Source organism: Homo sapiens, chromosome 12 (assembly GCF_000001405.40).
Source record: "Homo sapiens chromosome 12, GRCh38.p14 Primary Assembly".
Lineage (NCBI taxonomy): Eukaryota > Metazoa > Chordata > Mammalia > Primates > Hominidae > Homo > Homo sapiens.
Window position 1 is genome coordinate 39,461,090 of NC_000012.12, and position 12,785 is coordinate 39,473,874.

A 12,785-nucleotide genomic window follows, 5' to 3' on the forward strand; every position below is an offset into this window, starting at 1 on the left:
GCTGTCTGAGTTGGAAAGGCATGAGCAACATGTGACCTGATGCCCTGTAATAGTAACTGAGTAAATGTTTGTGTCTCCTCCACCTCCCCAATTAATACGTTGAAGTCCTAATACCCAGTGTGATAGTATGAAGGGACAGGGTCCTTGGGAGATAATTAGGGTTAGATGAGGTCATGAGGGTGAGGCCCTCATGATGGGATTAGTGCCTTTGTAAAAAGGGACACTAGAGAGCTTGCTCTCCCTCTCTCTGTCTCTGTCTCCCTACACATGCACAAAAAGGTATGTAAGGACACAGTGAGAAGGTGGCCATTTGCAAGGCAGAAAGCAAGCCCTCACCAGGAAATGAATAGGCCAGCACTTTGATCTTGCATTTTCCAGCCTCCAGAATTATGAGAAACAAATTTCCATTGTTTAAAACACCCAATCTAAGGTATTTGCTATGGCAGCCCAAGCAGACTAAAACAGATTTAGTTACCAAAAAGTAGGGTACTACTGTAACAAATATCTAAACATATTTGTGCAAGTGGCTTTGGAACTGCGTACTGGGTAGAGGCTGGAAGAGTTTTGAGGCACATATTAGAAATATGGGCATTAGTGATTCTTGTGTGGTCTCAGATGGAAGTGAATAACCTGTTATCAGAACTAGAGGAAAGGCAATCCTTGTTATAAAGTGACAAACACTTGACTAAATTGTGTACTAGTGTTTTGTGGAAGGCAGAACTTGCTTGCAATGAAACTAGGTATTTAGCTAAGGAGATATATAAGCAAAGTGTTGAACGAGTGGCTTAGTTCTTCCTGACTGCTTATAGTAAAACGTGAATAGAGAGAGAGGAATTAAAGAAGGAATTGTTACACACAAAAAAACCCAAAACTTGAAGATTTAAGAAGTTCTCAGCTGCCCATATTGCAAAAATAAGAAAGCATATTCTGAAAAGCACACCAGAGGTGTTGCTAGACTGTCACTTGTTAAAGAGTTTATGGAATTATACAAAGAGAAACATTGCAAGTTTGAGCTGAAGGGGATTGAGATGGGATGAAATAAAGGAAGGCTTTTAGACCTCTTGGATTTGATAGGATGGGATGATAGTGCCATTTGGCTGAGAACATGCACTATTCATCAAGAGGCAACAATGACCCTGAAGGTGATTAAGAGGGTGATCAAGGCCACTACCTTAGTTTTAACCAGCCAAACAGCCTCTGCCTGAAGCTGTTGGGGTGGGACCCTGACCTGGAACAAAGGAGCAATGCAGCCACCACAGTGTATCCAGAGAGCAGAACATCAAGCAAAAGAGGATTATCCTCAAGCCTTAAGATCTAATGAAATTTGCCTTACCAGGACTTGGATTTGCTTGGGACCTGTCACTCCTTTCTTTCTTCTGAAATGACCGTTTTTGAATGGAAATGTTTATCTTATGCCTGTTCTACCAGGGTATTTTGAAAGCATATAACTTTTTTGATTTTACAAGTTCACAGCTGGAGATGAATTTTGCCTCACTATATATCATAAGTCCAGTTTCACCCATATTTTATTTAGATGATATTTAGATGAGACTTTGAACTTTAGAGTAGATGCTGGAATTAGTTAAATCTTTTGAGGCTATTGGGATGGAATGAATGTATTTTGCATGGAAGAAAGACATGTATTTTGGGGGACCAAGGATGGAATTTAGGGACTGAATATTTGTGTCCCCCACCCCCAAATTCATATGTTAATGCCCTGACCCCCAATATGATAATATTTCAAGATGGGACCCTTGGGAGATAATTAGCGTTAGATGAGGTCATGAGTACGTGGCCTTCATAATGAGATTAGTGCCCTTATAAAAAAAAGGAAGGAAGACCAGCTCTCTCTCTCTCTCTCACTCCCTCTCATTCTCCCTCACTCTCCCTCTCTGATGATAGAAAATATCATCAGGATATTAAAATATCCCTATCTTTTAGAAAGAGGTCAGAGGGGAAACCAGAGAGCAGGTTTGAGGGGTGAGGACTGCAAGTGCTAAAGCTTGAACAGATTATCAAACTCCAAATTATTCATGTGATGATGCCTACTCATTTGGGAGGGAAAGAGGGAGATCCCTCCCTCCATACACAAAAATTAATTTTTAAGGTATAAAATACCCATATATAAAAACCAAAACTATGTAAGTATTAGAAGTAACTACAAAATATATGATACAAATCAAAAGTTTTATAAAAGAAAAGCTTGACAAGTTGAGTACATAAAAGTTTTAAACTGCTACAAAAAAAGACAACTTGAACAAAGTTAAAAATAAGTGACAAAGCAAAAGATTGCTATATATGTATTACAAAGGATTCATATCCAAAATATGTTTTGTTTTGTTTTGTTTTGTTTTGTTTTTGAGACAGACTCTCACTCTGTAGTCCAGTCTGGAGTGCAGTGGTGCAATCATGGCTCACTGCAGTATCCACCTCACCGGCTCAAGGGATCCTCCAACCTCAGCCTCCAGTAACTAGGACCACACATCCAGCCAATATTTAAATTTTCTGTAGAGAAGGAGTCTCCCTATATTGCTCAGGCTTGTCTTGAATTCCTGGGCTCAAGCGATGCTCTCACCTTGGCCTCCCAGAGTACTGGGATTACAGATGTGAACTACCACGCCCAGTCCCAGAATATGTTATAAATCTCCTACAAATCAAAATGAAGAGACCAAAAAATTTTACAGAATGAGCAAAAGATATGGACTGACCATTCACAGAAGAGATCATACCAAACAACAACAACACAAAATGGTGCTCACCTTAGTAGTAATTAGGAAAATGCAAAATAAGGCAAAAAGTCAATGGCATTTTTGATCCTTTAGATTGTTACTAATAATGGCTTTCTGATAGAATCACAAATGTTGGCAACGTTTGACACTTCTTAGTGTTTTCCATATATTAACTCATTTAATCCTCACAGTAACCCTATGATTAGGTGCTATATTGTCATCCATATTTTAAATATATTAACTCATTTAATCCTCACAGTAACCCTATGATTAGGTGCTATATTGTCATCCACATTTTACAGTTGAACTGAGGCACAATATGGCTTAGTAACTTATACTGAGGTCTCACAGCTAATAAGTGGCTCTAGAGTCAATGCTCTAACCATTTCATTACATTGTGTATCAACTGGTAGCAACCTTTCTGGATGATAATTTCGCTGTAATAAAAACTTTTAAATAAATACACACTCAGACACATGAACTGTCAATTCTTGAGAATTGACAGTTCTGCTCTCTGGAATCAGAGGACTTAGGTTGGAGTATGAATCCACCTAATTACTGCCAAGTGCAAACAAGTCACTTCACTTCTCTGAGTTTCAGAATTTTTATGGTATTTATTTTTATAGATTTAGTGAGTACAAGTACAGGTTTGTTACTTAGATATTTGCATAATAATTTTCATTTTAAAATGAAAATTCTATATGGTTGCATTGTGAAAATTAAAAGAGATTATATATTAGAAACACTTTGCAAATCAAAAACACTTTAAGACATTCTCTGATCTTACTGAATTTTTGTACTTTAAGAAAGCACTGGTGCTTGAGTTTTTGAATTTACTGAATAAAAATATTTCAGTGGAAAGCTAGTAGTCTTTCTGAATTTTCTTTTTTTTTTTTTTTTTGAGACAAAGTCTTGCTCTGTTATGGAGGCTGGAGTGCAGTGGTGTGATCTCGGCTCACTGCAACCTCTGCCTCCCTGGTTCAAGTGATTCTCCTGCCTTAGCCTCCAGAGTAGCTAGGATTACAGGCCTGCACTGCCATGCCCAGCTAATTTGTTTTGTTTTGTTGCATTTTTAGTAGAAATGGGATTTCACCATGTTGGCCAGGCTGCTCTTGAACTCCTGACCTCAAGTCATCTGCCCACCTCAGCCTCCCAAAGTGCTGGGATTACAGGCGTAAGCCACTGCGCCCAGCCAGTCTTTCTTAATTTGATGAGCCTGTAATTTAAAAAAATTAAAAAATCAGTTTTGGAGTTGGTCATCAGCATTTTCAGGACGAAATACTAAGCTAAGAATTCAGCAGGCACTGGGAGTGGCAGATGACAAAGAAATAGGACTCATAGTGCTTCCCCTTCCAAGTTTACCATTTCCTTGTGGTTACACAACATGCACACAGGCAAGAGCTTAACATTTACAAAATAGTAGAGATGCTGTGGGGGTTCAGTGCGAACAAAACACATACAGCAAAGTCCTTGAAAGCAGAAGGCTTTTGGTGTCCAATAAGACCTAATTCATAATCCTGGCTTCTTCAGTTTCATAAACTAGAAATCACACTACCTACCAGGAAGGATTATCCTCAAAATCAAATTAGTGTAAATAAAATGGTTAGCACATACAGTATCTGGCATGAAGTTAAGAGCTTCTGCTATTATTGGCTGCAAAGAGAAGTCAGAGAGAAGAGTGAGCACAGTTCAGAACATCAGGCAGTAATTTAGTAAAGTGTAGTGTGAGAAAACATTTTCTAAAAGAAATATGTTTCACACAGGCCTTAAAAGAGAAAAAGAAGAAATGACATTTCCAAAATACTTGCTTTTAGCATGGGAGTCTTTACATGCTGGGACACATTAATCTGAGAGTGCGGTAACACACCAGTAGCCAAAATTTAAAAAGAATAGGAATTTTGATGATGAATATAGGAAAAGTAAGTTGCACTGTTTCAGCTATCAATTTATATCTACATACCAGTGCATAATGTTATCAAATTCATCACACTTTCAAAAAAAGAATGATAACCTCTCTGATTAAAAAAAAATCAGATTTTCACAGAAAAGGCAACATGGATGCTTTCTACTATTAAATTGAAGTATTTTCTATCTAGAGGTAAAGCAGCAAGCAGAACTTCAGAGCAACTTAAATTCAAAGTTGCCTTTAAAAAAAAAACTAATTGACTTTATTTTTTGAGCAATTTTAGGTTTACAGAAAAATTGAGTGGAAAGGACCAAGTTCCCATATACCCCCTCAACGTTCTAGTTCCTCCTATAATTAATATCTTTCATTAGTGATACATTTGTTACAACTGATAAAACAATATTAATACATTATTTTTAACTTAAGTCCATAATTTACATTAGTGTTAATTCTTTGTATTGTACAGGCATACATCATTTTTTGTACTTCGCTTTATTGTGCTCCACAGATATCGTATTTTTTACAAATTGAGGGTTTCTGGCCACCCTGTGTCAAGCAAGTCTATTGGCACCATTTTTCCAATAGCATGTGCTCACTTCATGTCTCTGTGTCAGGTTTTGGTAATTCTTCCAATATTTTAAAGCTTTTTCATTATTATTTTTTTGAGAGTTTGTATTATTTTAATTATTTTCACATGCAGAAAACTCAACAGCATATATTTAATCCAGTTTGGTGGCAAGTTCTTTAGCCTTTGCCTTTTCCAGCATGGCAATGTGAACCACAGATTTGGGACCCAGCACATTGCCTTCCCCGCGATGGTGTCCAATAAGACCTAATTCATAATCCTGGCTTCTTCAGTTTCATAAACTAGAAATCACACTACCTACCAGGAAGGATTATCCTCAAAATCATCATATTTGTCATTGACTTTCATCATATTTGTCATTGTAATTGGTCCTGATAGCTTCCACCAGCTGAGCCAAAGCTCGTTTGTCTTCCGAGTTAACGTGTGTGAAGGCGACAGTGGTGCAGGTCTTCCTGTGGACTAAACATCCCAGTCTTGCCTTCCACTTGATAATGCAGTCAGGGACCCCCATTTTATGACACAGAGCAGGCCAGAAGACAACCAGCTCGATGGGATCCAAGTCGTTTGCAGTCACCACCAGCTGAGCCTTCTTGTTCTCCACCAAGGTAGTGATGGTCTTAACTCCTGCTCAAAGGACAGGTGGTCTCTTAATGGGGATGTCCCCTTTGCCAGCAGCTTTCTTCTTAGCCTGGGCCAACAGCCCCTGTTTCTTCTCTTGCTTCACCTCTGGTCTGTACCCGTGGGCTAGCTTAAGCAGTTGTGTAGCTGTTTGGCAGTCCAAGGCCTGGGTGAACTGGTTAATCACAGGAGGCACTTTTAGCGGGTTATAGAGGATAGCTCTTTGCCACTGCAAACTGATACAGCCGGGCCATTTGATAAAGGGGGTGAGGTCTCTTTTAGGCTGGATGTCCTGTCCCATGCCTTTGAGGCTGGATGTCCTGTCCAAAGATTCACACCTTTCTTGGCCTCCTGCTTCTTCCCAACAGCAGGGTCTGGAGCCACCTTCCTCCCCTTGGCCTTCTTTCATTCTGGCATCTTGAGCACTGGAAGGATTCATTATTATTATATGTGTTACAGCGATCTGTGATCAGTGATCTTTGATGTTATTATTGTAATTCTTTGAGGGCTGCCACAAACCACATCAATATAAGACTGCAGATTCAATCAGTAAATGTGTGTTCTGACAGTTCCACTGACTGGTCATTCTGCCACATCTGTCCCTCTCTTCAGACCTCACTATTCCCTGAGACACAGTAATATTGAAATTAGCCCAGTTGATAACCCTAAAATGGCTTCTAAGCATTCAAGGGAAAGAATGAGTCACATATCTCTCATTTTAAATCAAGAGCTAAAAATGCTTATGTTTAGTGAGGAAGGCATGTTGGAAGTGAAGACAGGCCAAATGTTAAGCCTCCTGCACCAAATGGTTAGCCAAGTTATTAATGCAAAGAAAAAGTTCTTGAAGGAAATTGAAAGCACTACTCCAGTGAACCTACAAATAGAAAGTGAAACAGTCTTATTGCTTCAAATAAGCCTTATTGCTTATATAGAGAAAGTTTTAATGATCTGGCTAAAAAATCAAACCAGCCATAACACTATCTTAAACCAAAGGCTAATCCAGAGCAAGACCCAAATTCCTTTTTAATTCTATGAAGGCTGAGAGAGGTGAGGAAAAGTTGGAGGCTGGCAGAGGTTGGTTCATGAGGTTTAAGGAAAGAAACCATCTCTATAATGTAAAAGTGCAAGGCAAAGCAGCAAGTGTTGATGTAGAAGCCACAGCAAGTTATCCAGATTTAGCTAAGATAATTGATAAAGCTGGCTACACTAAACAACGGATGATTTTCTTTCTTTCTTTTTTTTTCAGATGGAGTCTCGCTCTGTCGCCCAGGCTGGAATGCAGTGGCGCAATCTCGGCTCACTGCAACCTCCGCCTCCCTGGTTCATGCCATTCTCCTGCCTCAGCCTCCCGAGTAGCTGGGACTACAGGCACCCGCTACCATGCCCGACTAATTTTTTGTATATTTAGTAGAGATGGGGTTTCACCATGTTGGCCAGGATGGTCTCAATCTCTTGACCTCGTGATCCACCCGCCTCAGCCTCCCAAAGTGCTGGGATTACAGGCGTGAGCCACGCACCTGGCCAACAGATTTTCAATGTAGATGAAACAGCTTTCTATTGGAAGAAGATGTCATCTAGCACTTTCATAGCCAGAGAGGAGAAGTCAATCCCTAGCTTCAAGACTTCAAAGGACAGGCTGACTCTCTTGTTAGGGACTAATGCAGCTGGTGGCTTTAAGTTGGAGTCAACATTCATCTATGATTTCAAAAATCCTAGGGCCCTTAAAAATTATACTAAGTTGACTCTGCCTGTGTTCTGTAAATGGGACAAGAAAGTCTGGATGACAGCACAGTGGTTTACAGCATGGTTTACTGAATATTTTAGCCCACTGTTGAGACCTACTAGTCAGAAGAAAGGTTCTTTACACAATATTACTGCTCATTGATAATGCACCTGATCACCCAAAAGCACTGGTGAAGATATACAAGGAGATTAATGTTTTTATGCCTGTTTACACAAGATTCATTCTGAAGCCCTGGATCAAGGAGTAATTTTGACTTTTAAGTCTTATTATTTAAGAAATACATTTTGTAAGGCTATAGCTGCCATAGATAGTAATTTCTCAGATGAATCTAGGCAAAGTAAATTGAAAATCTTCTGGAAAGGATTCACCATTCTAGATGCCATTAAGGATATTCATGACTCATGGGAGGAGGTCAAAATATTAACATTGACAGGACTTTGGATGATTTTCAGGGGTTTAAGGTTTCAGTGGGGGAGGTTACTGCAGATAAGGTAGAAATAGCAAAAGTACTAAAATTTGAAGTGGAGCCTGAAGATGTGACTGAATTGCTGCAATCTCATAATAAAAATTTGATGGATGAAGAGTTGCTTCTTATGGATAAGTAAAGACAGTGAAGATGCTGTGAGTACTGTTGAAAAGACAACAAAGGATTTCTAATATTACATAAACTTAGTTGATAAAGTAGCAGCAGGGTTGAGATAATTGACTTCAACTTTGAAAGAAGTTTTACTGTGGATAAAAAACTATTGAATAGCATTACAAGGTACAGAGAAATCTTTCATGAAAGGAAAAGTCATTGTGGCAAACTTCATTTTTGTCTTATTTTAGGTAATTGCTAAAGCCACCCTAACCTTCCGCAGCCACCAGTGTGATCAGTTGGCAGCCCTCAACATCAAGGCAAGACCCTCCACCAGCAGAAGGATCATAACATACTGAAGGGTCAGAGGATTGTTGACATTTTTTAGCAATAGAGTTTTATTTCTTTTTTTTATTATTATACTTTAAGTTTTAGGGTACATGTGCACAAAGTGCAGGTTTGTTACATATGTATACATGTGCCATGTTGGTGTGCTGCACCCATTAACTCGTCATTTAGCATTAGGTATATCTCCTAATGCTATCCCTCCCCCCTCCCCTGATCACACAATAGTTCCCGGTGTGTGATGTTCCCCTTCCTGTGTCCATGTGTTCTCATTGTTCAATTCCTACCTATGAGTGAGAATATGCGGTGTTTGGTTTTTTGTCCTTGCGATACTTTGCTGAGAATGATGGTTTCCAGTTTCATCCATGTCCCTACAAAGGACATGAACTCATCATTTTTTATGGCTGCATAGTATTCCATGGTGTATATGTGCCACATTTTCTTCATCCAGTCTATCGTTGCTGGACATTTAGGTTGGTTCCAAGTCTTTGCTATTGTGAATAGTGCCGCTATAAACATACGTGTGCATGTGTCTTTATAGCAGCATGATTTATAATCCTTTGGGTATATACCCAGTAATGGGATGGCTGGGTCAAATGGTATTTCTAGTTCTAGATCCCTGAGGAATCACCACACTGACTTCCACAATGGTTAAACTAGTTTACAGTCCCACCAACAGTGTAAAAGTGTTCCTATTTCTCCACATCCTCCCAAGCACCTGTTGTTTCCTGACTTTTTAATGATCGCTATTCTAACTGGTGTGAGATGGTATCTCATTGTGGTTTTGATTTGCATTTCTCTGATGGCCAGTAATGATGAGCATTTTGTCATGTGTCTGTTGGCTGCATAAATGTCTTCTTTTGAGAAGTGTCTGTTCATATCCTTCGCCCACTTTTTGGGGGTTGTTTGTTTTTTTCTTGTAAGTTTGTTGGAGTTCATTGTAGATTCTGGATATTAGCCCTTTGTCAGACGAGTAGGTTGCAAAAATTTTCTCCCATTCTGTAGGTTGCCTGTTCACTCTGATGGTAGTTTCTTTTGCTGTGCAGAAGCTCTTTAGTTTAATTAGATCCCATTTGTCAATTTTGGCTTTTGTTGCCATTGCTTTTGGTGTTTTAGACATGAAGTCCTTGCCCATGCCTATGTCCTGAATGGCATTGCCTAGGTTTTCTTCTAGGGTTTTTATGGTTTTAGGTCTAACATGTAAGTCTTGAATCCATCTTGAATTAATTTTCGTATAAGGTGTAAGGAAGGGATCCAGTTTCAGCTTTCTACTTCTGGCTAGCCAGTTTTCCCAGCACCATTTATTAAATAGGGAATCCTTTCTCCATTGCTTGTTTTTGTCAGGTTTGTCAAAGATCAGATGGTTGTAGATATGTGGCATTATTTCTGAGGGCTCTGTTCTGTTCCATTGGTCTATATCTCTGTTTTGGTACTAGTACCATGCTGTTTTCATTACTGTAGCCTTGTAGTATAGTCTGAAGTCGGGTAGCATGATGCCTCCAGCTTTGTTCTTTTGGCTTAGGATTGACTTGGCGATGCGGGCTCTTTTTGGGTTCCACATGAACTTTAAAGTAGTTTTTTCCAATTCTGTGAAGAAAGTCATTGGTAGCTTGATGGGGATGGCATTGAATCTATAAATTACCTTGGGCAGTATGGCCATTTTCATGATATTGATTTTTCCTACCCATGAGCATGGAATGTTCTTCCATTTGTTTGTATCCTCTTTCATTTCATTGAGCAGTGATTTGTAGTTCTCCTTGAAGAGTTCCTTCACGTCCCTTGTAAGTTGGATTCCTAGGTATTTTATTGTCTTTGAAGTGATTGTGAATGGGAGTTCACTCATGATTTGGCTCTCTGTTTGTCTGTTATTGGTGTATAAGAATGCTTGTGATTTTTGCACATTGATTTTGTATCCTGAGACTTTGCTGAAGTTGCTTATCAGCTTGAGGAGATTTTGGGCTGAGACAATAGGGTTTTCTAGATATACAAGCATGTCATCTGCAAACAGGGACAATTTGACTTCCTCTTTTCCTAATTGAATACTCTTTATTTCCTTCTCCTGCCTGATTGCCCTGGCCAGAACTTCCAACACTATGTTGAATAGGAGTGGTGAGAGAGGGCATCCCTGTCTTGTGCCAGTTTTCAAAGGGAATGCTTCCAGTTTTTGCCCATTCAGTATGATATGGGCTGTGGGTTTGTCATAGATAGCTCTTATTATTTTGAGATACGTCCCATCAATACCTAATTTATTGAGAGTTTTTAGCATGAAGCGTTGTTGAATATTGTCAAAGGCCTTTTCTGCATCTATTGAGATAATTACGTGGTTTTTGTCTCTGATTCTGTTTATATGCTGGATTACATTTATTGATTTGGGTATGTTGAACCAGCCTTGCCCTCCAGGGATGAAGCCCACTTGATCATGGTGGATAAGCTTTTTGATGTGCTGCTGGATTCAGTTTGCTGGTATTTTATTGAGGATTTTTGCATCGATGTTCATCAAGGATATTCGTCTAAAATTCTCTTTTTTGGTTGTGTCTCTGCCAGCTTTGGTATCAGGATGATGCTGGCCTCATAAAATGAGTTAGGGAGGATTCCCTCTTTTTCTATTGATTGGAATAGTTTCAGAAGGAATGGTACCACCTCCTCTTTGTACCTCTGGTAGAATTCGGCTGTGAATCCATCTGGTCCTGGACTTTTTTTGGTTAGTAAGATATTGATTGTTGCCTTAATTTCAGAGCCTGTTATTGGTCTATTCAGAGATTCAACTTCTTCCTGGTTTAGTCTTGGCAGGTTGTATGTGTCGAGGAATTTATCCATTTCTTCTAGATTTTCTAGTTTATTTGCACAGAGGTGTTTATAGTATTCTCTGATGGTAGTTTGTATTTCTGTGGGAATGGTGGTGATATCCCTTTTATCATTTTTTATTGCATCTATTTGATTCTCCTCTCTTTTCTTCTTTATTAGTCTTGCTAGAAGTCTATCAATTTTGTTGATCTTTTCAAAATACCAGCTCCTGGATTCATTAATTTTTTTAACGGTTTTTTGTGTCTCTATTTCCTTCAGTTCTGCTCTGATGTTAGTTATTTCTTGCCTTCTGCTAGCTTTTGAATGTGTTTGCTCTTGCTTTTCTAGTTCTTTTAATTGTGTTGTTAGGGTGTCAATTTTAGATCTTTCCTGCTTTCTCTTGTGGGCTTTTAGTGCTATAAATTTCCCTCTACACACTGCTTTGAATGTGTCCCAGAGATTCTGGTATGTTGTGTCTTTGTTCTCATTGGTTTCAAAGAACATCTTTATTTCTGCCTTCATTTCATTATGTACCCAGTAGTCATTCAGGAGCGGGTTGTTCAGTTTCCATGTAGTTGAGCGGTTTTGAGTGAGTTTCTTAATCCTCAGTTCTAGTTTGATTGCACTGTGGTCTGAGAGACAGTTTGTTATAATTTCTGTTCTTTTACATTTGATGAGGAGTGCTTTACTTCCAACTATGTGGTCAATTTTGGAGTAGGTGTGGTGTAGTGCTGAGAAGAATGTATATTCTGTTGATTTGGGGTGGAGGGTTCTGTAGATGTCTATTAGGTATGCTTGGTGCAGAGCTGAGTTCAATTCCTGGGTATCCTTGTTAACTTTCTGTCTCCTTTATCTGTCTAATGTTGACAGTGGGGTGTTAAAGTCTCCCATTATTATTGTGTGGGAGTCTAAGTCTCTTTGTAGGTCAGTAAGGACTTGCTTTATGAATCTGGGTGCTCCTGTATTGGGTTCATATATATTTAGGATAGTTAGCTCTTCTTGTTGAATTGATCCCTTTACCATTATGTAATGGCCTTCTTTGTCACTTTTGATCTTTGTTGGTTTACAGTCTGTTTTATCAGAAACTAGGATTGCAACCCCTGCCTTTTTTTGTTTTCCATTTGCTTGGTAGATCTTCCTCCATCCCTTTATTTTGAGCCTATGTGTGTCCCTGAACATGAGATGGGTTTCCTGAATACAGCACACTGATGGGTCTTGACTGTTTATCCAATTTGCCAGTCTGTGTCTTTTAATTGGAGCATTTAGCCCATTTACATTTAAGGTTAATATTGTTATGTGTGAATTTGATCCTGTCATTATGATGTTAGCTGGTTATTTTGCTTGTTAGTTGATGCAGTTTCTTAGCATCAGTGGTCTTTACAATTTGGCATGTTTTTGCAGTGGCTGGTACTGGTTGTTCCTTTCCATGTTTAGTACTTCCTTCAGGAGCTCCTGTAAGGCAGGTCTGGTGGTGACAAAATCTCTCAGCATCTGCT

The 12,785-nt window shown here is 39.1% G+C and overlaps 1 pseudogene, besides 1 other annotated feature; it reads right to left on the minus strand.

Annotated features, from left to right (window-relative positions):
• On the minus strand, positions 5,300 to 6,273 carry RPL7AP74 (ribosomal protein L7a pseudogene 74; annotated as a pseudogene).
• Positions 6,437 to 6,486: an enhancer, noted in NCBI's record as "active region_6202". NCBI's record gives its function as "activates an Ori minimal core promoter by ATAC-STARR-seq in GM12878 lymphoblastoid cells {active_cell/tissue: GM12878}" and the evidence as "EXISTENCE:reporter gene assay evidence [ECO:0000049][PMID:35858748]".